The sequence below is a fragment of the Homo sapiens genome, chromosome 15 (genome assembly GCF_000001405.40).
Source record: "Homo sapiens chromosome 15, GRCh38.p14 Primary Assembly".
In the NCBI taxonomy this organism is placed as follows: Eukaryota; Metazoa; Chordata; class Mammalia; order Primates; family Hominidae; genus Homo; species Homo sapiens.
Window position 1 is genome coordinate 71,666,204 of NC_000015.10, and position 27,769 is coordinate 71,693,972.

The following is a 27,769-nucleotide window of genomic DNA, read 5'->3' on the forward strand; positions in this document are numbered from 1 at the left end:
CAGAGATCTTTCACCTCCCTGGTTAGCTGTATTCCTAAGTATTTTGTTCTTTTTGAATTACCTCATTTTAAATGATTTTTTAAGCCCTCAATATTTAAATGAGCATCCCTAGGATTCTCTTTTTTTAACTTTTAAGTTAAAGGTACAAGTGCAGGTTTGTTACATAGTTAAACTTGTATTATGGGGGTTTGTTGTACAGATTATTTCATCACCCAGGTATTAAACCTAGTACCCCTAAGTTATTTTTCCTGATCTTCTCCCTCCTCCCACCCTAGGCTTCTCAGTTAATAACAGTAGTCATACCACACATATATAATACTTCAGTCTCCAAAGCATTTTCACATACATGGCCTTCTGATCTTTAACACTGGACATTATTTATTAATACTTTGCTTATTCCAAAAAGCTTTAGACGTACTAAAACTTACTATTAATACTTTGCTTATTTCAAAATGCTTTAGACTTACTAAAACTTACTGAAGGTATAATTATAGAGTTAAGATATGAAAATTAAAATTTAAAACTTAAAAACTAAATAGAAAACGGAGGCATGTATTCCAGAAACCTTGGCTGATATATTTATAGTGATGGTACATTAAAGTTAACTCTGAGTTTCTGGCTTAATTTAGTTTGACCATCAAGGCCTAGCCTACTAGACTCAGATTCTGAAGGCTTTGGGTCTGGCCCCTTCCCAGCCATAACTCCTAGGAGGAGTGGCCTATGTAGAGCTGGGGGAAGAGGCCAACTCACCACAATGCTTACTCTTGTCTCCAAGCAAAGCTAGAGAAATCATAACATTTAATGGTGCACATATTTCAGGAGATAAGATGTTTATTCATCTCATTTGGGGTTATACACCAATGAAACTCTGCAGACTTGAGCTCCAAATTTCTGTTTATTTGAATTTGTTTACATGCTCCAAAATATAGACTGTTTCATGAGTTCTAGAGTCCTAAATTTTTTTAAATGGGAAAGACTTTAGAACTCCTGTATCTATTGTAAGCTATGAATTCTCCTTTTGTATGTGAATTATTCTGAACTCTGCCATTTGGGGAAAAAAAAGTTTATTTAAATGATTGACATTTTGTATTACTTGCCTTTTTCTTAATAAAAGATATTGTAAAATTATTTTAGCTGAAATATCAAAGTTTGGCATAGTTCAGTCAGTTCAGTTTACTAATGTCATTATGCAACAGTTAAGAAATCAGACATAAAAGCATACCAAGCACAAATTGATTATACAAGACATGTACCACCTGCCAACATGTTAGATTGTCATAGAGTTTTAGACTTGGAAGGAATTTTTAAAGATCTGTAAACTTTCAAAAATAAACTGGCAGTATTCTTACTTTTAAGCATGTTCTCCTAAAAGTTTTAAACAACAGTAATGGTCAGCATTGAAAAAAGTCAAGTATCATGGATCATCTATAATTTGCAAGCTTTAATTTATTCTTTGAACAGCTTTCTTTACAGGAAACATTGGATGTTTAAATACTATGATGTCTTACATTCGTATGACTATTAATCCCTAATATTTTTTGCATGTTCACTGTAAAAATTTCAAGGAAGACAAATGAAATAGAGCAAAAAGGTAAAATTCCCTCTTCATACAAACTCCACACTTGATCCACTGCCTTCAAGTGTAAAGACTACTTGAAGGTAAATAACCACTGTTCACAGTTCATTGTGTATTCTCCAGCCCTTTCTGTAAGTACCAATAAATAGCTATTTTCTAAAATTGATATTACTATACATACTTTTTGCAATTTGTGTCCTTATTTTAATATCATATCATGGGTATCTTTTCATATTAATACATATAAGCCTATGTTATTGATTTTTTTTTAGTGCAGAGTATTCTGTACAGTGGATGTACCATTATTTATTTAGGTACTTCCCTACTGAGGGATGTTTAGATTGCCTCTAGTTTTCTAACATTACAAATAATACTTTAGAATTTTGGTTCAAGATGGCAGACTGAGCACATGAGCTTTTCTTCCCTTTCTCCAAAGATTCCTTCAAAATGATACTAAAGCGATTTAACTAAAAGATGTGACCTAAAACCACTAAGACTGGAGTGGGGGCATCAGTGAGCAAATATCTTAACAGATTTTTGGAAGACAGAAAGCAGATGGGAGGATGTTCACTAGCAGAGCAGAGGAAATCACAGCCCAGGTGTGCAGAGGGGGTCTGGGATGAGAAGGGGCTGACCTGTGAGATGAAGCCCCAAGAGGCTCTGAGCCTGGAAGACAGCAGGTAAAAGGGAGGGGAGAAGGGGAGAATGTGGCTGAAAATGGGGAAAGAAGTGAAAAAACCTGTCTGTGGAACAGACACCCCCACTCCCAGCACACACACACATTCAGAATGCTGGCATTGCCTCCTCGTCCAAATACGGAAAGGAACTAGGACATGGATGAGAGGTGGGTGCTGCAAGACTTCTGTCTTCATTGTGGAATTGGAGAAAGGGCAGCTTGCTGACTGGTACCCCACTCTCTGACTCTGTAGAACTTAGCCTTTTAACAAACTCTCACAACGTGCACAGGGTTCTCAGGAAACCTTCACATTGCTTTTGTCTTGAATGCCAATGGATAACTGAAGATAACATGAATGGGTGACCAAGGATCACTAGACATTTTCTTAAGCCTATAGCATGAAAGATAAGGCCCAAGATAAATAACTGGAAAAGTTATTTCTGGAAGAAACTGAGCAAATTCTTGGAGAAGAAAACTTAAAGGTTCTCTAACAAGTACTGCTTCCATGAATATCCTAATATGTATATCTTTTCATACTTATATAAATAATTCTGTAGGATAGACTCTTGGCAGAAGAATTTGTAGGTCAAATGGAATGCACACTTAAAATTCTGGAAAATAAAGCAAAATTTCTCTCCAAAGTCGTGCCAATTTACACTCCCACCAGAAGCACATGAAATAATTCTTTCTTCACACCGTTACCAAAACTAAATATTATAAGTGTACTTAATTCTTACTAGATCTTTTTTATTTGCATTTTCCTGACCACTAATTTTTATTGTTCTTTATACTCTATGACTTTGACATTTTTAAATTGCACTTGTAGTTTTCTTATTGATTTTAAGAACTCATATACATAATCAGTAATAACCATTTTTGGTGATGTCTATCTAAAATATTAGCCTTTATCTTACATTTCAACTCTGCTTAAATTATCTATTACTCTGTGGTGAAAAATTTTCATCTTTTTTTATTATACTTTAAGTCCTGGGGTACATGTGCAGAAAGTGCAGGTTTGTTACACAGGTATACACAATTCTGTCCTTTTTTTTTGTGGCTGTTGGTTTTCTGACAGATACCTTTCACCAAAATAAGGATTTTTCTTTCTATAACTAGCTTTTAAGAATTTTTATTAAAACTTGCCCGTTTTGTTTAGTTTTCTTCTGAATGTCTGATGATCAATCCTTAGTTGTCAGTTTATATTTATAAAGATAATGGATAGTTGCTTATTCTAGGTACGTTCAGTTGCTTTCCTCCACAATTACTTTCATCTGTTTTTGCAACAGTCCTTTTCTCCAAATGGAGCAGAGCCCAGTATGCTGCCAGGCTGCAGTCAGGCAGGTTTCCTCTGAGTGTGCGTGGGCAGGGGTCAGACAGGCAGACAGATACAAATCATCCTCTCTTAGAGGCATATGAGGATTCAGTAGGATAAACACGAATTGCCTAGCATGATAATGAATTTAATACATATTTTCCCTGCTTTATCTCAAGACTCCAATATGTATCAGTGACTGCTTAACAAACCTGTTTAGTTTGCCTTGCAATTTCCTTGCAATGACAAGAAACAGGCTTCTCTTCAGCTCCACTGCCAAGGAAGCCTCCAGGATTATGCCACTTCGGGTGTACCTTTTTTTTTATTATTATACTTTAAGTTCTAGGGTACATGTGCACAGTGTGCAGGTTTGTTACATATGTATACCTGTGCCATGTTGGTTTGCTGCACCCATTAACTCGTCATTTACATTAGGTATTTCTCCTAATGCTATCCCTCCCCTATCCCCCACCCCATGACAGGCCCCGGTGTGTGATGTTCCCTGCCCTGTGTCCAAGTGTTCTCATTGTTCAATTCCCACCTATGAGTAAGAACATGCGGTGTTTGGTTTTCTGTCCTGGCAATAGTTTGCTCAGAATGATGGTTTCCAGCTTCATCCATGTCCCTACAAAGGACATGAACTCATCCTTTTTTATGGCTGCATAGTATTCCATGGTGTATATGTGCCACATTTTCTTTTTTTGTTTGTTTTTTTTTAGATTTAAATTTTACATATATGTATATATATACTTTAAGTTCTAGGGTACATGTGCACAACGTGCAGGTTTGTTACATATGTATACATGTGCCATGTTGGTGTGCTGCACCCATTAACTTGTCATTTACATTAGGTATATCTCCTAATGCTATCCCTCCCCCATCCCCCTGCCACACAACACGCCCCGGTGTGATGTTCCCCATCCTGTGTCCAAGTGTTCTCATTGTTCATTTCCCCCCTATGAGTGAGAACATGCGGTGTTTGGTTTTCTGTCCTTGCAATAGTTTGCTCAGAATGCTGGTTTCCAGCTTCATCCATGTCCCTACAAAGGACATGAACTCATCCTTTTTTTATGGCTGCATAGTATTCCATGGTGTATATGTGCCACATTTTCTTAATCCAGTCTATCAGTGATGGACATTTGGGTTGGTTGGTACCAAGTCTTTGCTATTGTGAATAGTGCCGCAATAAACATACGTGTGCATGTGTCTTTATAGCAGCATGATTTATAATCTTTTGGGTATATACCCAGTAATGGAATGGCTGGGTCTCTAGATCCTTGAGGAATTGCCACACTGTCTTCCACAATGGTTGAACTAATTTACAGTCCCACCAACAGTGTAAAAGTGTTCCTATTTCTCCACATCCTCTCCAGCACCTGTAGTTCCTGACTTTTTAATGATTGCCATTCTAACTGGTGTGAGATGGTATCTCATTGTGGTTTTGATTTGCATTTCTCTGATGGCCAGTGATGGTGAGCATTTTTTCATGTGTCTGTTGGCTGCATAAATGTTTTCTTTTGAGAAGTGTCTGTTCATATCCTTCGCCCACTTTTTGATGGAGTTGTTTGATTTTTTCTTGGAAATTTGTTTAAGTTCTTTGTAGATTCTGGATATTAGCCCTTTGTCAGATGGATAGATTGGAAAAATTTTTTCCCATTCTGTAGGTTGCCTGTTCACTCTGATGGTAGTTTGTTTTGCTGTGCAGAAGCTCTTGAGTTCAATTAGATCCCATTTGTCAATTTTGGCTTTTGTTGCCATTGCTTTTGGTGTTTTAGACTGAAGCCCTTGCCCATGCCTGTGTCCTGAATTGTATTGCCTAGGTTTTCTTCTAGGGTTTTTATGGTTTTAGGTCTAACATTTAAGTCTTGAATCCATCTTGAATTAATTTTTGTATAAGGTGTAAGGAAGGGATCCAGTTTCAGCTTTCTACATATGGCTAGCCAGTTTTCCCAGCACCATTTATTAAATAGGGAATCCTTTCCCCACTTCTTGTTTTTGTTAGGTTTGTCAGAGATCAGATGGTTGTAGATATGTGGTGTTATTTCTGAGGGCTCTGTTCTGATCCATTGGTTTATATCTCTGTTTTGGTACCAGTACCATGCTTGTTTTGGTTACTGTAGCCTTGTAGTATAGTTTGAAGTCAGGTGGCTTGATGCCTCCAGCTTTGTTCTTTTGGCTTAGGATTGTCTTGGCAATGCGGGCTCTTTTTTGGTTCCATATGAACTTTAAAGTAGTTTTTTCCAATTCTGTGAAGAAAGTCATTGGTAGCTTAATGGGGATGGCATTGAATCTATAAATTACCTTGGGCAGTATGGCCATTTTCACAATATTGATTCTTCCTATCCATGAGCATGGAATGTTTTTCCATTTGTTTGTGTCTTCTTTTATTTTTGTTGAGCAGTGGTTTGTAGTTCTTCTTGAAGAGGTCCTTCACATCCCTTGTAAGTTGGATTCCTAGGTATTTTATTCTCTTTGAAGCAATTGTGAATGGGAGTTCACTCATGATTTGGCTCTCTGTTTGTCTGTTGCTGGTGTATAGGAATGCTTGTGATTTTTGCACCTTGATTTTGTATCCTAAGACTTTGCTGAAGTTGTTTATCAGCTTAAGGAGATTTGGGGCTGAGACGATGGGGTTTTCTAAATATGCAATCATGTCATCTGCAAACAGGGACAATTTGACTTCCTCTTTTCCTAATTGAATACCCTTTTATTTCTTTCTCTGGCCTGATTGCCCTGGCCAGAACTTCCAACACTATGTTGAATAGGAGTGGTGAGAGAGGGCATCCCTGTCTTGTGCCAGTTTTCGAAGGAAATGCTTCCAGTTTTTGCCCATTCAGTATGATATTGGCTGTGGGTTTGTCATGAATAGCTCTTATTATTTTGAGATACATTCCATCAGTACCTAGTTTATTGAGAGTTTTTAGCATGAAGTGCTGTTGAATTTTGTCAAAGGCCTTTTCTGCATCTATTGAGATAATCATGTGGTTTTTGTCTTTGGTTCTGTTTATGTGACGGATTATGTTTATTGATTTGCGTATGTTGAACCAGCCTTGGATCCCAGGGATGAAGCCAACTTGATCTTAGAGGATAAGCTTTTTGATGTGTTGCTGGATTCGGTTTGCAAGTATTTTATTGAGGATTTTTGCATCAATGTTCATCAGGGATATTGGTCTAAAATTCTCTTTTTTTGTTGTGTCTCTGCCAGGCTTTGGTATCAGAATGATGCTGGCCTCATAAAATGAGTTAAGGAATATTCCCTCTCTTTCTATTGATTGGAATAGTTTCAGAAGGAATGGTACCAGCTCCTCTTTGTACCTCTGGTAGAATTCGGCTGTGAATCCGCCTGGTCTGGGACTTTTTCTGGTTGGCAGGCTATTAATTATTGCCTCAATTTCAGAGCCTGTTATTGGTCTATTCAGGGATTCAACTTCTTCCTGGTTTAGTCTTGGGAGGGTGTATGTGTCCAGGAATTTATCCATTTCTTCTAGATTTTCTAGTTTATTTGCATAGAGGTGTTTATAGTATTCTCTGATGGTAGTTTGTATTTCTGTGGGATCGGTGGTGATATCCCCTCTATCATTTTTTATTGCGTCTATTTGATTCTTCTCTCTTTTCTTCTTTATTAGTCTTGCTAACGATCTAACAATTTTATCAGTCTTTTCAGAAAACCAGCTCCTGGATTCATTGATTTTTTTGAAGGGTTTTTTGTGTCTCTATCTCCTTCAGTTCTGCTTTGATCTTAGTTATTTCTTGCCTTCTGTTAGCTTTTGAATTTGTTTGCTCTTGCTTCTCTAGTTCTTTTAATTGTGATGTTAGGGTGTCAATTTTAGATCTTTCCTGCTTTCTCTTGTGGGCATTTAGTGCTATAAATTTCCTTCTGCACACTGCTTTAAATGTGTCCCAGAGATTCTGGTACATTGTGTCTTTGTTCTCATTGGTTTCAAAGAACATCTTTATTTCTGTCTTCATTTCGTTATGTACCCAGTAGTCATTTCAGGAGCAGGTTGTTCAGAGAGTCTCGCTCTGTCGCCCAGGCTAGAGTGCAGTGGCAAGATCTCGGCTCACTGCAAGGTCCGCCTCCCAGGTTCACACCATTCTCCTGCCTCAGCCTCCCGAGTAGCTGGGACTACAGGCGCCCACCACCACGGCTGGCCATATACTTTTCTTCTTAGACATCAAAAGCCTACCTGATTTAACTGGCACAGTTGTGTGTTCTTATGGCTTTTGCACCCAACTGTCTGTCGGAGTAGTTGCCTCTTCCCAGAAGAACAAAAAGAGAAAGAAAAGTAGACATGCTTCTTCTGTGCGTCTCCTGTGCTGACCTCATTCTATTCAGAGAATGGTTTCTCTAGGGGTATAAATGTGTGATGATGTGTTTATGCCTCTCCACCTTACTCCCCCAGCCCTAGGCTGCATCCAGTGGTCTAAGTGGCATTCCTCTGCTCTTGCTCTTATGTGGTCTCCAGTTCTTGGCCTTGTCTTCCATTTACAGTCCAGCTCTGCCCATTGAAATTGGTCTTTGCAGAGCTCTTATTTCCAGCTGGGATGCTCTTGGACAAGTTCCTTAACTTTTCTGAGATTCGGTTTCCCCATAGGCAAAATAGGAAAACAATTACAATGTCATAGAACTATTACCTTTAAATGAGAAAATGTAGGTAAAATACCCTGCATGTCAACCCTATTAGTTCCCATATCTCCCTGGATCAGTGCTTTTCACCCTGGCTGCACATTGCACTCATGGGAGGCATGCTGTGTGAGGCATGTTTGAACTATGCTGATGCCTGAGTCCCACCTGCATGTTTAATTGGTCAGGGGCACAGCCTGACAGCCTGGACTTCAGGATTTTTTTTTAAACTTTAAAGGTGATTGCAATGTCCTTTCAGGATAAAAGGCCTTTTCCCTATGTCAGTAGGTGTCAACTAGGGACTATTCTGCACCCGCTCCCCATACATTTGGCAATGGCTGGAGGCATTTCGATTGTTACAGTGAGGGCAGAGAAGGGGGGAGGCGGGTGCTGCTGGCATCTGTCGATAGAGGCCAGGGATGCTGCTGAACCTTCCACAGTGCACAGGGCGGCTCCCACAGTGAAGAATTATTCAGCTCTAAACCTCAGTGGTGCTGAAGTAAGAAACCCTGGCCTGTTTGATCACTAAGATCCCTTTCAGTGCTGAAGTTTTGTAGGCCACTTATTTCAGAATGATATTTTTAAAATAACAATAAATATCTAAGGTTTTCTTTGAATGACCGTTTTATGTACCATTAAGTTCACATTCATCAGCTCACTCTGAATCCTTAGCTTCCAATCCAATCCCCCTCCTTTGGTTTACTTTCCAGATTTCACTCAGTTCTTGGTAGTGGGCCCCTAGATTGCTTATCTCTGAACAGCTGTGAGGCAGCCCCAACAACAGAAGTACCATCTTAAAATGCCCTTTTATAGCCAGCCCTGTGGTGTTTGGAGTCCTTTCTTGCTTTCTTAATACATGGCAGAAGAATAAAGGACAGAAAAAAAAGAAAAGCAAAGAAAGTCAGTTTTTCTTTGGATTCTCATAGAACTCTGATCATCTCTCCAGCTCGGTACTTAAATATATTTTACTGTAGTTTATCTGTTTACATGTCTGTGCTCTTCCCGGTGAGGCCGTGCAATCCTTGAAGACAAACAGGCCAGCCTTAGACAGTCTTCTCTGGAGTACACACCATGAGCCAGGAACTGTGCTCAGTGGTGTGGATACAGAAATAAAGGTCGTGCTGGCTCTCCTGAGGCCCATGCATGGTGTGCAGCCCGTGTGGGGGTTCTGTGCTCAGACATCTTAGCCCCTCTTGATCATGAGACCTCGCTCGTGGTACTGGAGTCATATTACTACTCACTAGATGCTTGGAATCCTGGGTCTCCCACCTCCTTCATCTAACCCTCACAACACTCACACAAGGTGGGAACTAATGTCATCATCTGCATTTTATAGTTGAGGGACCTGCCTGTGGTAAACAATTTGTGAGGGGTGGAGTCAGGACTTGAACCTGGGCACAGGCCTCACTTATGACCTTCCCTGCATGTTTATGACCATGGCCATTTGCAAGAAAAATATGGCAGGGTGGGGTGGTATTTGTGTCTTCTCACTTCCCAGCCACTGGAAGAAAGACATGTTCCACTGAATTCCTTGCAGCCATCTTGCACCCTCCTCACTGTTCCATCCCTGTCCCCACTGCTACCTCAAACTTGATTACAATCATGCATCCCATGCTCTCTTTGGGAATCCTTGGGCTAAATCTCCATAGTTATTATCTTAGTCACTAGACTTGCACCATCTTGCCTCAGCAGACCTTCTGGAACTAGCTTTTAAAAGAGTATCCAGCTCTTAAAAAGAGTAGAACATTTTAGAGAAATAAAACATCAAGTGTGTGTTTTTTCTTTTTTTATTGTGGTAAAATATATATAAACATAACATTTATCATTTTAATGATGTTAAGTGTATAATTCAGTGGCATTAAGTACATTCACTGCTATCACCACGATCCATTTTCAGAATTTTTTTTTGAGACGGAGTCTCGCTGTGTCGCCCAGGTTGGAGTGCGGTGGCACGATCTCAGCTCACTGCAACCTCTGCCTCCCGGGTTCAAGCGATTCTCCTGCCTCAGCCTCTTAAGTAGATGGGACTACAGGCATGCACCACCATGCCTGGCTAATTTTTGTATTTTTAGTAGAGACAGGGTTTTACCATGTTGGCCAGGATGGTCTCAATCTCTTGACCTCGTGATCTGCCCACCTCGGCCTCCCAAAGTGCTGGGATTACAGGTGTGAGCTACTGCGCCCAGCCTCAGAATATTTTCTTATCCCAAAAGCTGTACTCAGTAAACAATAGCCCCCTTCTTTCCCCGTCCTCCAAGCCCCTGGTAACTTCAACTCTCTGCCTCATGCACTGACCTATTCTAGGAACCTCATACAAGTAGAATCACACAGTATCTGTCCTTTTGTGTCTGGCTTATTTCACTTAGCATAATGTTTTCAAGATTCATCCCTGTGGTAATATGCACCAGAATTTCATTTCTTTTTTATGTATATGCCACATTTTGTTTATCCATTCATCTGTTGATGGGCACCTGGGCTGTTTCTCTCTTTTGGTTATTGTGAATAATGCGCTATGAACATTGGCATACAACTACCTGTTTGAGTCACTACTTCCAATTCTTTTGGGTATATACCTAGGAGTGGAATTGATGAGTCATATGGTAACTCTATATTTAACTTTTTGAGAAACTGCCAAACTGCTGTCTACAGCAACTGCCCCATTTTATCTTCCAACCAGAGTTTCAATGTCTCCACATTCTCGCCAACACTTCAAGTGTGTTTTTGAAAGAGTATTTAAGCATGTGATATAATAGGCACCAATGGTCAGCTCTGAGGCATCAGGACAAGATGCTGCGCTGGGCTTTGTTACCTGCTGCAGGTCATGGCAGCCCCTGGAGACGATTAAGTCACAAACAACTCAAAGTGATATCCTGACTCTTGGCTGAATGTTCCTCGTCAATGCTGGTAGATGAGGAAAGTGATCATTGAGTATTTGTTTTTTATTTGGACTCAGTTCTTGCCTTTTCTTCACCAAAAGCTTTTATGACTCTTGTCCAGAACCAAATATTCACAAAACAAAGATTCCATGCCAAAGAGACTGTGCCCTCTTGCTGTGATTTGGAAAGATGCTGTTGTTTGTTTTAGCACTCCTGGACTTACTTTTGGATTACATACTTTCCACATGGTGTCTGACAGCGCACCTCCCTTTGATTTAGGACAGCTCTGATGTCCTTGCATCTGTTTACAGGGACTTTCTTTTCACTTTCAGAGTCCTTTGCCTTGAAAAGCTTTCAGATATGCTGGAACGAAAGGAAATCAACTCTGCCCCACCCCCTTCTGCTGATTGTTTCACATTTTCTGCTTTGTATTGATAGTTAGCACCTAGCTACCCTGGAAATGTGAGACTGAGTTTTCCTGTTTGTACATGGATTTGTCTTTCATTTTCTGGGGAAATAGTTAAGCTGTGGTTTGTTTTTGCTTTTAATTGTATCGTCTGTCTCAGAAATATGCAAAATGCCCACACCTGTTTTCCTACACTTAATGTGATACTTTCCTCAAATGCAGGAAACAGTTGCTGAGCTGGCTGAGTCTTGAATTTTTATGGAAGTGATTTGACACCGCTATCCTTGCATGAGGAATAACATTGTCTCCTAGCCCACTCTAGGCAGCAGCGCCTAAGGACAGCATCTTCAGCAGGGCTGTTAATCGCTCCCAGGTCTCCTATCTGGATTAGGATAATAGCTGAGAATCCATTATCTGCAAGTCCAATGTGGTTAACACTGTCCCTAGATCCGCCTATTCCCTAACCCACTTGGAAGTGCATTTAAATCTTCCCTGTTTGAATCAAAGTCTTGCTTTTTTGTGATATGTTAGATCACTGAGCTACCACATTAGGGAACTAATACAAGCTAAGCCCCAAGAAGAGATATCTAAGGTTTAAACAACGTTTAATAAATATAGTTGACTTAATGAAAGAGAAGTGACTCCTGAGAAAAACAGTAATCTTGAAGATTTCTTAACCAACAGCTGGGGATGACCCACCCTTTGCTTCTCCATGGTTACTGCTCTCACTGGGAGCCTCTCTTCCTTCCTCGTGAGCATCAGAGCTTCAGAAATGTGAAACCTGCCTTCTAAGATTGCCCTCTTCTCTCTTCAGGCCTTACTTTCCCATGGAAGAAGTTGAGCACCCTTTCCCCTTTTTTATTAAGCAGAACTCTAGGCACATTGTGCTCTTCTTCTAAACCTTGAAGTCTTGCAGATAAGTCACTGAAGGGGTGGTCTTTGAAGATAAGCCTCCTTTCTCCCTCTCATCATGAACCGCCTTTATTAGCTTTGCTCTGGCTGTTTTAGCATCAACAGCTTTAAGAATAACTTTTGGCATCTCCTGACTCTACCCTACTCTGTCCCCAAGCCAGACACTATTCTCTGAATTAGAAACCATATAAATGTCAGCATGGGAAAGACTCACTCCTTCTGTCTGAATTCTGAATCAATATTCATGTTCTTCCTTGGAAAATGTACTTTCACATAGCCCCACCCTTTAACTTTCTTTGTGGCCTTATAGTCACGCCTATATTTGTTATGCTTTGGGGGCAGAATTTGTCTCATTGATCAATATTTATTTTTCCCTTTATTATCTAGTGTTTAGTGTGAATCAGGACTGATTTTCTTTCTTTGATTAAAGAAAACATTGCTCTTTGTCTGAATTGATATTCCTGCAAGATAATTAAACATTTCAATGGATATCTGTAAGCACCTACTGTGTACAATATATTATGAAGAGAAAGAGTTGAACGATACATGGCCCCTTCCCTGAAAGGCATTTACTGTCCATTTGGAAATCCTTTGATGACTTTGAAAAGAGACCCAGTGCTATGGGAGTGCAAAGGATGGAGAAATTAACTCTAATAGGATAATCAGAGGAGGCACCTGGGGGAGGTGGTATTTAAACTGGGCTTGTAGAGCAGGGGCTGGCAACCTTTTTTTTGGAAAGACCATATAGTAAATATCTTGGGCTTTGCAGGCCATTTGGCCTCTGTTACAGCTACTCAGCTGCACAGTGAGAAAGCAGCATAGACAATATGTGAATGAATGGGGGTGCCTATGCTCCAATAAAATACGATATACCAAAAAAGCCAGCCGCCAAGTTTAGCCCTCATGCTGTGGTTTGCCCACCCTTGTTTTGGTGGATGGATAGGCTTTTCTCAGAAGAAATAGGGAAAGAGCATTTCAATCTGAAGAAGCAGCACAAGCTAAGGTACAGAGAAGGAAGAATGTGAGGCATGTTCTGGACTTAGTCACTTATGAAATAAGTGAGGGTGACCTTGACATTTGAGACTGCAAATACAGGGTATAGCTAGGCCTGTTTCATCCTGAACCACATCCTTTGTATTAAATCTGAAGATGCTCGGCTGGAGAAGAGTTGTGACAGGGTCCTGCCTCTGCTCTGCAGACAGTTTGGGGCAGTTGTAGAGGAGGAGGGGGAGCGGCTGCTGTAAAAAGGCCTGGCCTATAGGAAGAGTCTGAGGCAGGGGAAGTGACTAATAACAAGGATACTGCTATGTCAGTGGGCTCTGTGATTCCAAACAGTAAATTTGACCGTGTTAGAAAACCAGAGTTTTTGCGTGTGTTTTTAATCAGTGACTGTAGGTTGAGCACCTTATGATAGAAGAACGTAATACACACCACAGTATTGCTACATCAGGGAGTGATAAACTGCACTTGGAAACTTGAGATGATCTGGAGCAAATCAGAGTAGAAAAGACGGATAAATAATTTTGGGAGTTGGAAATTTAGGTAATCAGTCCTCTTTAAAAAGAGGGGAGTGGTTGCATTTGAGATAAGCTAAATCCCTTCCCTTGTCTCTAAAGCAGTACTTTTGAAACCTAGTCCAGCCTTTCCTGTCTTTCCTGTTTTGTTGGTAAGTTCTGGGAACACCAAGGTTCTCTAAGCCTTCTCCCATACAAAGGTCCCAATCCAAACAGCAGGTTCTCAGCAGGCAGCATAGATCCTGTCCTACATGAATGCTTTCAGTTGAATTCCTTGATTTTTAATTATCCCTAACAAATCACATATTTGCCAAGTTTTTAGAATTGCTGCGAGAAGACCAATATTAACCTGTAAGATAATTTCTGTTGGTAGGGTAAAAATTTGTTGATCAGAGAAAAAGGATTTAATCAACTGCATTAAGATTTCTTGTAAATAAATACTCCACATCATTGCTAGGTCCTCCTTAACTTACAAAATCGTGCATGGCTAGGACTCACTTGGAATTTTAAGAAAAATTTGAATTATCAGTTTCACTGGCCAAAGGACCCAAAGTACTGTCTCAAACATTTCAGTATGAGCAGAATTGTGCAAGTTAAGAGTTCTACTCTCAGCCACGCAGCTTTCTGGCTCTATAGCCTTCAGTCAGTTACCTGACCTCTCCGTATGTCATTTTCTTTACCTGTAAGATGAATTGACAATAATATTTATCTCATAGGGTTATTGGGAAGGTTAAATAAGGTAAAACAGGTAAAGCATCTAGCACAATGACTGGCACAAAATACTTATTCAATAAACATCAGATGTCATTACTAGTAATTTTTTTTTTTTTTTTTTTTGAGATGGAATCTCACTCTGTTGCTCAGGCTGGAGTGCAGTGCCATGATCTCAGCTCACTGCAACCTCTTCCTCCCAGGTTCAAGCAATTCTCCTGTCCCAGCCTCCTGAGTAGCTGGATTACAGGCATGTGCCACCATGCCCAGTTAATTTTTGTATTTTAGTAGAGACAGTGTCACCATGTGGGCTAGGGTGGTCTTGAACCCCTGACCTCAAGTGATCCACCTGCCTTGGCCTCCCAAAGTGCTGGGATTACAGGCATGAGCCACTGCTCCCGGCCCTACTATGGTATTTTAATTGTTGCTACTGTTATACAAATTAGTCCAGGATTATATGGTTAGAGATCCACATAATTGTGCTTTGAGACTTTGTCTAGACAATAAATACCTTTCCAAAAGCAAAAGACAATTTTTTTCTAGACTTATCAAGCCAACAATCAGTATCAAAAGTTTACGTGGCACACTGGGCGTGGTGGCTCATGCCTGTAATTCCAGCACTTTGGGAGGCCAAGGCAGGTGGATCACCTGAGGTCAGGCGTTCCAGACCAGCCTGGCCAACATGGGGAAATCCTATCTCCACTAAAAATACAAAAATTATCAGAGTGTGGTGGCGAGCCTATAATCCCAGCTACTCGGGAGGCTGGGGCGGCAGAATCGATTGAACCGGGGGGGTGGAGGTTGCAGTGAGCCAAGATGGTTCCACTTAACTCTAGCCTGGGCAAAAGAGTGAAACTTCGTCTCAAAAAAAAAAAAAAAAAAGTTTTACATGGCACATGCCTTTATAACTAACTGATAGTGAACTAAGATCAAGCACCGTTTGAGTTGTATCCAGTAAATATGGTGTCCCCTAACTCAGCTCATTGGCTTGAGGTGGTACCAAGATGTTCATGGGGGCAAACGGAAGTTGATCAACACTTGTATTTCAGACCTAGGCAAGTATGAGGATTGGGCTATTAGATGTTCCTCTTTTAATATGAATACTGACTTACTATTCTCTGATGTGTTGGTCTTTAAAATGTTCAGCTGTGCCTCAGAGAACAGTGAAATTTCTGCTGTCAGCATGTGAGGGTCATGGGCACGGTCTCTCAGTACCATTCAGCATGGGGACCCTTGGAGCCCCTGTGAAATCCGACCCCCCCTGGAAAGGATGAAGACATAGTTCAACCCAAGGTCTTTATGGACCTGCTGAATTCATTACAATTAAGTAAGTTAAACTTTCATCACAGACTTTATCCCCTCTTCTCAAAGCACAAGTGAAAAAGAGATACCTGTTTAAGTGCCAAAAGCCTATTGTCTGGCCAGAGCCATTGGCTGGCTTAGCACTTACTTATTTGTTGGATAAGCTTTTTATTGAAATGCTAAGTATAAATACACAGGAAAAGTTCTCTATTCAAAACTATAAGTACAGCTTGATGAATTTTCACAAAGTGAACACAGTCACGTCACTAGTACTCAGATGAAGAAATAGAACTTGATCAGCTCCCAGAAGCCCCTTCCAGTGTCCCCTCTCTGTCACTAACCTCCCCACCGCAGAAAGAACCACTACCGTGATTGTTCACACCATACATTAGTTTTTGTCTGTTTTTAGAAAAACCTTATATAAATGGAATAATACAGCATATACTGTTTTGTATCTGGCTTTTTTTTTTTTTTTCTCAACATTTTTAACATTTACCTTGGAGTAGAGTATAAAATGAGAAGGTAGATTTCTTCCTAATGTTTAGCCAATTTTACAAACCAATTTGTTGAGTGGTTCATTTATTTAACATTGGAATGTGTAGAATGTGCTAAGTCACATACTTACCATTTATTGTATTCCATTTATCTGTCAAATAATTTCTGTACCACACAGAGTATTTTGGTTATCATAGCTTTAAAATGTGATTTAGTATCTGGCATGGCAATTCTTCCCTCTTTTGCTACTTTCTTTCTTTCTTTCTTTCTTTCTTTCTTTCTTTCTTTCTTTCTTTCTTTCTTCTTCTTCTTCTTTTTTTTTTTTTTTTTTTGAGTCGAGGTCTCACTCTTTGCCCAGTCTGGAGTGCAGTGGTGCAATCATGGCTCACTGCAGCCTCAACCCCCCTGGGCTCAAGAGATCCTCCTACCTCAGCCTCCCAAGTAGCGGGAACTACAGACTCACACCACCATGCCTGGCCGATTTTTGTATTTTTTGTAGAGACAGGGTTTCACCATATTGGCCAGGCTGGCCTCGAACTCCTGGACTATAGTAATCTGCCTACCTTGACCTCCCAAAGTGCTAGGATTACAGGTGTGAGCCATCGCACCCAGCCTTGCTTCTTTTCAATAACAATTTTCAGACAGTCTAGCATTATTCCAGGTGAATTTTTGAAACCATTTTGTCATATGTAAGGAAAAAAAAAATCCTATGGGTGTTTGCACGCAATTATGTTAAATTCATTCAATAAACATGTACTGAGTCCTTACTGTGTGCCGGGTGGAATTCTGGGTACTGGGAATACTCAGAAAAGGGCACACCAGCCCTGATGGCATTTACAAAATTCTACCGGGGAAACTGGAGACGAAAGAACAAAAAGGTAATTTCAGATGATGAGACATGCTATAAAAAATAAAACAGGGGAAGAGGAGAATGAGTGCTGGCTGGAAGAGCAGGCTGCTATTTGAGTTAGGTTGTCAATGTCTTAAGGAATGTGATCCTTGAATTCCAACCTGATTCATGCCCAGAGTGTATTAGATCTATAAATTCATTTGGGAGGAGTAGACATGGTTAAAATGTTCAGTCTGGCCAGGCTCAGTGGCTTACACCTGTAATCCCAGCACTTTGGGAGGCCGAGCCGAACGGCCTACTTGAGGTCAGGAGTTTGAGAACAACCTGGCCAACAGGTGAAACCCCATCTGTACTAAAAATACAAAAATTTAGCTGGGCATGGTGGGAGGTGCCCATAGTCCCAGCTACTCAGGAGGTTGAGGCATGAGAATCACTTGAACCCAGGAGGCAAGGTTGCAGTGAGCCAAGATCACACCACTGCACTCTAGCCTGGACGACAGAGCAAGACTCCATCTCAAAACAGCAACAAAACCATTCAGTCTAAGAACATAGCATTTATTACCGTTTATTCAAATAGCTTACATCTGCCAGTGAAGTTTTGTTATTTTCCATATAAATTCTCTGCATTCCTTGTAAAGATTCATCATAGGTATTTAATTGCATTTTGCTGTGGTATGATGATGATGACAAAGAATGGAATCTGTTCCTTTTTATCTCTAAAATTCTTATCAATATACAGAAAAGTTATGGGTTTTTTTATATTTACCTCTATCTGGTAATTTCGTTGCGCTTTTATAAATTCTGAGTAATTTGAGTTGATTCTCATCGTTTTCTAGTGATATAATCATACCATATAGAAATAATTATAATATTGCCTCCTCCTTTCCAATAGTAATTACTCTGAATAGCAGACATCCTTAACCTATCTCTGATTTTAATGTGAATGCTCCTAATTTTTACTAGCAAGGAAAATGGATGTATGCTCAATAAATATTTTAATTGAATATATGATTACATGCTCATCATTGGGGTAAGAAAGTCTATTTCTAATCTTGTAATCTTTTTTTTTTTTTACCAGGATGAGTTTTAAATGACATTTTGGCACCTACTTACGTTATTTTTTCTTTAAAGTTTTCTATATTATCCTTGAATTCCTGGATTATACCCTGTTTCATCTTGCTGAATGGTTTTTTTAATGTTCTGTTGAATTCAATTTGCTAGGACCTTATTTGGGATTTTTAAAATCTGTATTCCGAAGTGAGATTGGCCTATTGTTTTCATTTTGTGCTACCTCTCTGAGGTGGAGGTTAGGTTAGTGTTCCAATTTTTATGTGCTCTGGAAAAGCTTATATAATAATCTGTTCCTTCAGATTTTTATAAAAACTCACCAATAAAAAACATCTGGCACTAGAATATTTTTGGAAGAAATTACTGCTAACTTGTAACAATTCTTCTATGGCTGTGAGTCTACTATGTTTTCTTGTTCATCTTAAATCAAGCTGGTAATTTTTTAATGTATCTTTTTCATGGAGAATTTCAAATGTAGTATAGAATTACATATCAAATTCACTTTTAATTTCAGCATCATCTGATATATTCTCTTATTTGGGCTTTATTGCTTTTTTATTAAATTTGCTTATTTTCAAAAATGTCTTGGAGACCAGCTCTCAGGTTCTTATGTGTGTTTTTCTTTCTTGAATTCACATACTTCTGTTTTATGATTTCTACCTTGGTTTCCTCTTTTTAAAAAAAAAAGAAATAAGAGTATTTAAATTGCATAAATTCAATGTGTGACACTTCTGTTTTTGCTGTTTTCTCAGTGGTTCTTAAATGTTTTCATCTCAGGACCCTTTTCTCCTCTTTAAAACTGAAGACCCCAGAGAGCTTTTGTTCATATGAATTTATTCGTTAATATTTACAGTATTCACATTTTAAACTGAAATTTGAGAATTTTATATTACTTTGCTTTCAAATAACAATAATAAACTCACTATATAATACAGTAACAGTTTTTTTAAAGTAACTATTTCCCAGAGCAAAAACATTTTGAGAAGAGTGGCATCATTTTACAATTTGCAAATACTGTATCTTTTAATGTCTGGCCTAATAGAAGACAGCTGGATTCTCATATCTGCTTCTCCAATCTATTGTGATAGATTATTTGGCTAAAGTATATGAAGAAAATCTGGTTTCACATAAATATGTAGTTGGAAAATAGAGAGGTAGTTTAGTGGTCTTTTCAGATCATTGTGAATCTTCTCCTTTGATACTATACCAAACTAGAAAAGTGGTAGTTTCTTAAAGGTTAGTTGCAATGGGAAATCTGAAACCACATCAATAAACTTGTCATGTTCTTTATACTCATGAGTAAGAGAAAAAAAGGCAAATAGCATCTTAGAGTTGTTATGGAAATAGGTTTAATCTCAAAGATCCCCTGAGAGGATCTTAAGGACCATACTTTCAGATATACTTTTCCAAGTAAATGGAAATATATCCATTTTTTTAAACTTTTTATTTTCAAGTAATGTTAAATTTACAGAAGAGTTGCAGAGAGAATGCAGAGTTCCCATGTACTCTTAACCCAGCTTCCCCTAATAAGAAATTTTTAAAACTTTATGGTAAAATATATATAACATAAAATTTACCATTTTAACCATTTTAAATGTACAGTTCAGTGGCATTAAGCACATTCACATTATTGTACAACCATCAACAGCACCCATCCATAGAACTTTCTTCATCTTCCAAAACTGAAACTCTATACCCATGATGTGTAAGTTGGATTCACTTATTAACCCAAACTACTTGAGGCATCTGTTGAGATTTACATGCTTAACTGGTTGCATTTGTGCTGTTAATACCTGATTGTATTGCTTTGGAGAGTGTAGTCTGCATGATTTTGAGGGCTGAGGTGAGAAAGAAACTGTTTCTCTCTCTGTCTACTGAATCAGGGCTATACAGTTTATACCAGACAAAAAAGGACAGCTGTTCCCTCCACATAGGAGCACCTTTGTTTTGAGATGGCCAGAGCACTGCCTCTTCATCACTTCATCAGTCTCTGTCAGTTGATATAAACCATGAAATCAGAACACATGGGATAGTGAGAGTAATGACATGACGTTTCACCCACAAACACCATATTGCTAAGCTTGGGTTATAAGGACAAAGGAAGAGGAGGAGTCCCTAGACCCATTCTTGGGGGAAGGGGAAGTCAGTAGTGATGGAGGACATGGTGCACTCTGTTGTTCCAATCTCTGTGGGGGGAAGCAGTAGCAAGAAAACTGAAGATTTACAGCCAGATAGGAAATATTTTAGGCTTTGCAGTCCCTATGGACACTGTCACAACTACTCAACTCTCCTATGCAAAAGCAGTGACTGATTCCAATAAAACTTTATTTACAAAAGCAGGTGGCAGGCCATATTTGGCTCAGAGACTGTGTTTTGGTGACCGCCACACTAAATGAATTCCTGGCAGGGGTCCGAAAACTGGTTAAGACTTAGGAATATCTCAGTCAACACTAGTTGACCATCTTAAAGGAGAGTTCTACCAGCACGCAGATGAACAGTAACCAAGGCAATGGACAGTCACATATCCTGCCTGTTGGCTGGTACCAAAGCAGGATATCACGCTTCCTTCCAACATTTAGTTGATAAAAGTTTCATAGTCAACTCTGAGCATGAGGCAGGTGGCATCTATTAACCCCTAGAGAATAAAAATTAAACTACAGACTTCTCACTAGATGTCCACCTTCTTTAACTGCTTGTTCTTTAAGGACTATTGAGTCCACCTCTTAATGTTGTTAGGTTTTGCTGTTTTAAATTTTATTCTATATGAAAAATTATGCTATAATTTTTAGAAGTTATGGGATATTTGCTGTTAGGACCAGGAAGCTATAACCAGAGCATTATTGCTTCCTCCTGACAGCACTTTCTGTTTTTAGAAAACAGGCATAAGAGACCGTGAAAAACCACTAAAACGGCTGAACTCACAAGCTAACCTTAAAAGCCAGCACCTTGGCCAGGCGCCATTGCTCACACCGGTAATCCCAGCACTTTGGGGGGCCAAGGCGAGTGGATCACCTGAGCCAGGAGTTTGAGACCAGCCTGGCCAACATGGTGAAACCCTGTCTCTACTAAAAATACAAAAATTAGCCAGGAGTGGTGGTGGGCACCTGTAATCCCAGTTACTCGGAAGGCTGAGGCAGGAGAATTGCTTGAACCCGGGAGACGGAGGCTGCAGTGAGCTGAGATCGTGCCATTACACTCCAGTCTGGGCAACAAGAGTGAAACTCTGTCTCAAAAAAAAAAAAAAAAACAAACCAGCACCTCAGAAATTCATCTGTATCAACCATTCATCAATCAAAAATATTTGAATGCAAATATTTGGAAATTACTAATGCAAAGTATGCCAATATGCAAATTAACCTGTTTGTTCATTTTTTCTCATTTATTCATTCATTCACTTATTGAGAGTCTGTTATGAGCTAAGTCTGTTATTAGCCAAGTCTGTTTTAGGCTGCAGTTGTGGCTTCAGTTATAATCTCCTGTAAATGTTTGTTTTGTTCACATGTGTTCAGATGTATTCTATGTAACAGTTGCCTCTACCTTCTATTTTAATGAAAAAGCTCCTTGAGCACAAATCTGTATTTTCCCGTCTCTTCATAATTCTCCACAGTTCCCAACTGCATGCTCTGCATGCAATAAAGCATTTAGCACATGATTTTGATTTATTGACTGGTGGGAAGCCTTTACAAGCCAGTCTTCTGTCTTGAGCCCCATCCAGAATTCTTCTGTTAATTTTTCTATAGTTCCCAAAGGTTACAAAGAACATTTTCCTTTCAGCCTTTAAGAGCTTGTGTAGAATTAGTCATCACTGGGACCCAGACTTCACCCTAAACATGAGTGCATTTACATGCTCCAGTGAATTAATCCTGATGTCATATTGTGAATTGTGTCCTAATTTTTTAAGAGACTCCGTATTCCATTTGATTCATAAAAATGAAAAGTAAAATGCTAATGTGTAAAACTGTTGTTACTCCAGTTAATGAAATATTTTCCCAACCTTTCATAATCAGTTCCAGCCTAGATGAGAAGCTTATTTGCAAAAATAATAGATGAAAAAGGGAAATTAAATCCTCTGTAATTAAAAATAGTAACATTCTTCTATTAGGTTCCCTGTTTAATCATCTTCATTGTTTTGTTTTGTTTTTTTCTTTTTTGTTGTTGAGGTTTTTTTTTGTTTTGTATCTCTGTGTGTGTGTGTGTGTGTGTGTGTGTGTGTGTGTCTGTGACAGAGCAAGAGAGAGAAGAGAGAGAGGTGCCTGTAATTTTCTAAAACCTGTGTTTGAGGGCAAAATGTTAACATCTTGGAATAATCACCCCCTGCCAGTGTTTTTTTCTTTTTCAATTATTTGCTTACTTTGACATTTTCATTCCCCACTATGACAGATGTTCCAGAACCACGTGCATATGGTTCTCCTCCTGGGCAAGGCCATTTCCCTGCCTCCTCTCCATCCCGGCCCATGAGATAAAGCTCAGGAACGCCTTTTGTCCATCTTTGGCTGGCAGGCAAGAGCCAGGGATCCCCACACTCTGCAACTGTATCCATAAGGCCCTGTAGAGCTCTTCAGTTTACTTCCTCCTCAATGAGATTCTGAAAGATGGTTTATCTAAAATGTGACCAAGATATACTAATAATTCTACTGGAAATTTCTACGAAGTGTTTTTAACCCTCAAAAAGTCAGACCAAGGATGGATTTTGAACCTGGTGTGGCCTCTCTGCTCTGGGAGCCACCACCTGGTTCCTCGGATGCTCAGTAGCTCTGGGCTTCCGGAAGCAGCGTCTGTGAAGGGGCAGGGGAGAGAGTCCCAGACATGGAGCCTCAAGTCAGGCTCTGAATTCTGTGTCTGCCACTGAGCAGCTCTGATCTTGAGCATTGTTATTTGAACTCTGTGACTCTCCTTTCTCCTCACATATAAAGTGAGGATAAGAGGAAGGTAGAGAGGATGAAAGGAGATCATGTTGTATAAAGCTGCCTCCATATACAGAATAAGCCTTCCCCCTCAGTGCTGTCATAAAATCAGTAACCCACAAAGGAGAGCCAAGTTCCTCCAGGCTTCACGCCTAACCAGAGAGGTGTGTGGGATAGAAAAAGACCTACACCATCCTCCTAGCTCTGTGCTGGATGAGATTTGTCACTTGGGGCAAGACTGCGTGCATCACCTCAGTTTCTGCATCCATAAAATGGAACTGATACCATCACCCTCATTGAGATCATGGGGATTGAGAAGATGTACACATGAAAGTGCCAGCACCTCTTCTGGACAATGGAAGAGATTCCTCGGGTGTTATTTCCCTCCAGTTTGGGTTCTGAGTCCAGAATCCTTTCTGGAGCAACCTGTTTGGGTGTTCTTCCCCGTCCCTGAACGTGAGTGGAGGCTTAGAGCTGACTTTTTCATGAGGCAACCTCTTCAACCCTGAACAGGTCTTGCTCTTCAAAAGTCCTTGATATTTAACCAAAATATGCCGCTTCAAACTTCCCACTGGTGATGCATGAAATAGAGTAAATGCCCCCAAACTCTTCTCCAATTAAGATTTTTTATCCCAGTGGAATCAGATTCAATTAAGCATCAAAGTCAATCTTTGGTGGAAAAATAAGTCAAATTTCAGCCAGAGTGATCTTTGCAGAAGGGCCATCCTTGCCTTTGGCTCTGGCCCTGGAGTTGTATTGAGGTTTTGTGATTAATGGGTAATTGCCTGAGCCTTACATTTTTTAAGATCTTTTGGTGGAACTGTCCTCTTTGGTGTTGCTGGCTCTTTCTTCGGAATCACAAAAGCCCAGAATCCTTGCTGAGAATCTGGGGTCCTTGTGGCATGCAGCTGCAGCTGCCACTCCCCACCTCCTGGGATGGTGCCTGAGTCTGTACTTCTAGATAGTCACAAGGTCGTCTAGCAGAGTAGGAGCCAAGAGTCAGTATACATGCCTGACTGGGGCGTGGGGACCTGAGATGGCAAGGAGGACCGAGTCTTACTGATACTCACTATGGTAGACAGAATAATGGCCCCCCAAAGTTGTCCACAGCCTACTCCCGAGAACCTGTGAACATGTTAAGTTACATGGTGTATTAGTCCATTTCACACTGCTGATAAAGACATCTCCTAGACTGGGCAATTTACAAAAGAAAGAAGTTTAATGACTTACAGTTTCATGTGGTTGGGGAGGCCTCACAATCATGGCAGAAGGCAAGGAGGAGCAAGTCACATCTTACATGGATGGCAGCAGGCAAAAAAAGGTTGTGCAGGGAAACTCCTCCTTATAAAACCATCAGATCTTGTGAGACTTATTCACTGTCATGAGAACAGCATGGCAAAGACCTGCCCCCATGATTCAATTACCTCCCACAAGGTCCCTTCCACAACATGTGAGAATTCAAGATGAGATTTGGATGGGAATACAGCCAAACCATATCACATGGCAAAGGGGAATTAATGTTACAGATGGAATTAAGGTCCTAATGAAGACCCTTGTGATGGAAAGATTACCCTGGATTATCCAGGTGAGTCCAGTGTAACCACAAGGGTCCTTCTAGGTAGAAGGGGCAGGACGAAGAGTTGAGTCAGGAAGAGATTTGAAGAGGCTGAACTGCGGGCTTTGCAGATGAAGGAAGGGGCCACAAACTAAGGAGTGCAAGAAATACAACTCTAGCAGCTGGAAAGGCAAGGAAACAATTTTTCCCCTAAAGCTTCCGTAAAGGAACACAGCCCTGCCAACTCCTTGATTTTAGCCCAGCAAAATCCATTTCAGACTTCTGACCTCCAGAACTGCAAGATAATACATTTATGTTGCTTTAAGCCACTAAGTGAATGGTGATTTGTTACAACAGCAAATAGGAAAAGAATACACTCACCTTCCTTTATCATCAACACATCCTGCTACTCAAGGCAGGGACTTCACCTGGCTGGAGACCATGCCTGTTCAGGTGTTAGCTGATCGTTAAGGAGCAGCTTGTCTGGACGGGAAGGAGCACAGACGTTGGATCGAGGCAGAGCTGAGTGAGGCAGTGCCATCACTTTCTGGCTTCACAGCCTTGCTCAGATTGTTTCATTTCTCTGACCTTTATGCTCTAAAGCAGGAATCATTACAGGATTAAACTACAGAATGTACTCCTGGTTGATTACCTGGCATGCAGTCAGCTCTCAACACATGGTCTCTTTTAGTAATGATGAGTTGAACTGTGCCTTTTCTTCCCTCCCCTGGGAAGTGTTTCTCTTTTTTTAGGGTGTGAGAGAGATTGACATTCTCTCCCTTGTCTAGCACAGGACTGCCTTGCCCTGGGGATCCCTAGTGAACCATTGCTGGGAGGCTCAGATGGACTCCAGGCAGCTGGACATGGCGAATACATGAGAGATTGGCATAGCGTATCCCCAGGGGAATGAGAATGAAACTAGAATCAAGATTCCCGAAGATCAAGCCGTCCAGGTGGAAACCTCAAGTAGCCAAACACAGCAGTGTGGTTGGGCTGGAATGTTTAACCTCTCTGGGAGGGATAACAACATTCCAGCTGGGACGTTCACCAAAAGTAACAAGTAATCACATGGGTGTGTTCTCTATCCAAATGACCAGAGCCTCCATCTGGCTAGCTTCCCATGTAATTAGTTTAAGAGTAACAAAATACCAGGACATTAATATATACAAAGGAGTGTTCCAGAACATCTAGGCACAGACTGATAAAGGAGACGTGGGTGTATGTGCACGTGTACGTTAAAGATGAGTTAATTTCAATGTTTCTATTATTCTAAACTGAACTGCTGCTATGGGTTTCAAGAATTACATAGCTTATGAGGTCATCTGGCTGGAACTATGATTCCAGAGCATCCCTCAAAACACGAGAGGACTTTTTTCCCCACTTTTATGTTGTTAGATGCCAAGGTGATTTAGCCAGAGTCAAAGCTGTACTTTATGGCAGGACATATATTCTTCCACTGTAGATTTTTTGTTTTTGTTTTGTTTTGTTTTTTGTTTTGTTTCATTCACCGAGTTGGAAGATTTAGCTCTGCAGTGTACAGGGAGCTACCAGTAAACTGTAGGTCAGGAGCTGGCCAGGGTGACCTCAGCTTAGCCACCAGAGCCCAACTCTCAAGTTGTTCAACTCTGTGTCTCCTCCTCTGTGCTTGATGGAGTTAACTAGGAGATCTCTGAGTTGGAGTGTCGCTCTGACCTCTGAGGGTACTTAAAGGGAAGCAGCAGGAGAAAGTGGGGAGGCAGAGAGTGGCACCAAGGTGCTGCAGATGACGTCTGCTGGCTGTGTTCCTGGTAATAAGAAGCGCTGTCCTCTGAAGGGACTCATGTTCCAGGGAAGACAATTTGGGGAAATGCTGACCGAGGTCATATTTTAATGTTTAAAGCTAGCTTTTAAGTATTTAAAGAAACGATTTACAAGTCAGTCTCCTGAAATTACAATTCCATAAAACTTCCAAGTGGGCAAAGAATAATAACTTAAGGAAGAGCAGTTTCCTAAACAGATGAGAGTGAAGTCCAAATTGCTTTTAAAGGGAGATAAAAAGGTCTCAAATTTCTTGCTATGGTTCTGAATGTTTAGTGATAGGTTCGTTTGAAGATGAAATCAACCCTGATGTTAGCTCAATAATTTCAGGATGTGGGGAGGGTGGGGGGAAACCTAGCCTATGGGAAAGGAAAATCAGGAAAACCTTTTAGTAGACAGACATTTTTCATTGCTATCAAAGGATGTGTAAGGCCACAAAAACCTCTTAGCAGGAAGCATCCTGGGGTGATCCATACATTCTTTCTGGTGAGGCAGAAGGAAAAGGAGGTCCAAGTCTCATGATCTGTCTCTTTAGATCCAGTAGCAGCAAGGATCCTAAATTGGTGGATAAAGAAACAAAGCCAACTGGGCTTGGTGGCTCACACCTGTAATCCCAGCACTTTGGGAGGCCAAGGTGGGCAGATTGCTTGAGCCCAGGAGTTCAAGACCAGCTTGGTCCACATGATGAAACCTGGTCTGTACAAAAAATACAAAAATTAGCCAGGTGTTGTAGTGCACACCGGTAGTCCCAGCTACTTGGAGGCTGAGGTGAGAGGATGGCTTTGAGCCCAGGAGGTTGCAGTGAGCCATGATCTCACCACTTGATATGGTTTGGCTGTGTCTCCACCCAAATCTCACCTTGAATTGTAGCTCCCATAATTCCCATGGGTTGTAGGAGAGACCCAGTGGGAGATAATTGAATCATGGAGGCGGTTTCCCCTATGCTGTTCTCATGGTAATGAACAAGTCTCCCGAGATTTGATGATTTTCTAAGGGGTTTCGCCTTTCACTTGGCTCCTACTCTCTCGCCTGCCACCATGTAAGACATCCCTTTGCTCTTCCTTCATCTCCTGCCATGATTGTGAGGCTTCCCCAGCTATGTGGAACTATGAGTCCATTAAGCCTGTTTCCTTTATAAATTACCCAGTCTCACATCTGTCTTTATTAGCAGCATGAGAACAGAATCATATA

At 40.4% G+C, this 27,769-nt stretch overlaps 1 protein-coding gene and 1 long non-coding RNA gene across 11 annotated transcripts in view; one reads left to right on the plus strand and one right to left on the minus strand.

Annotated features, from left to right (window-relative positions):
• The window catches only part of THSD4 (thrombospondin type 1 domain containing 4), a 686,490-nt gene that overhangs the window by 569,310 nt on the left and 89,411 nt on the right, over nt 1-27,769 (plus strand). The window lies entirely within an intron of this gene.
• On the minus strand, nt 22,498-25,336 carry THSD4-AS2 (THSD4 antisense RNA 2). Its single transcript, NR_120346.1, has 3 exons — nt 25,163-25,336; nt 24,457-24,567; nt 22,498-24,351 (listed from the first exon to the last, which is right to left on the minus strand). It is a non-coding gene; the product is annotated as a THSD4 antisense RNA 2 (long non-coding RNA).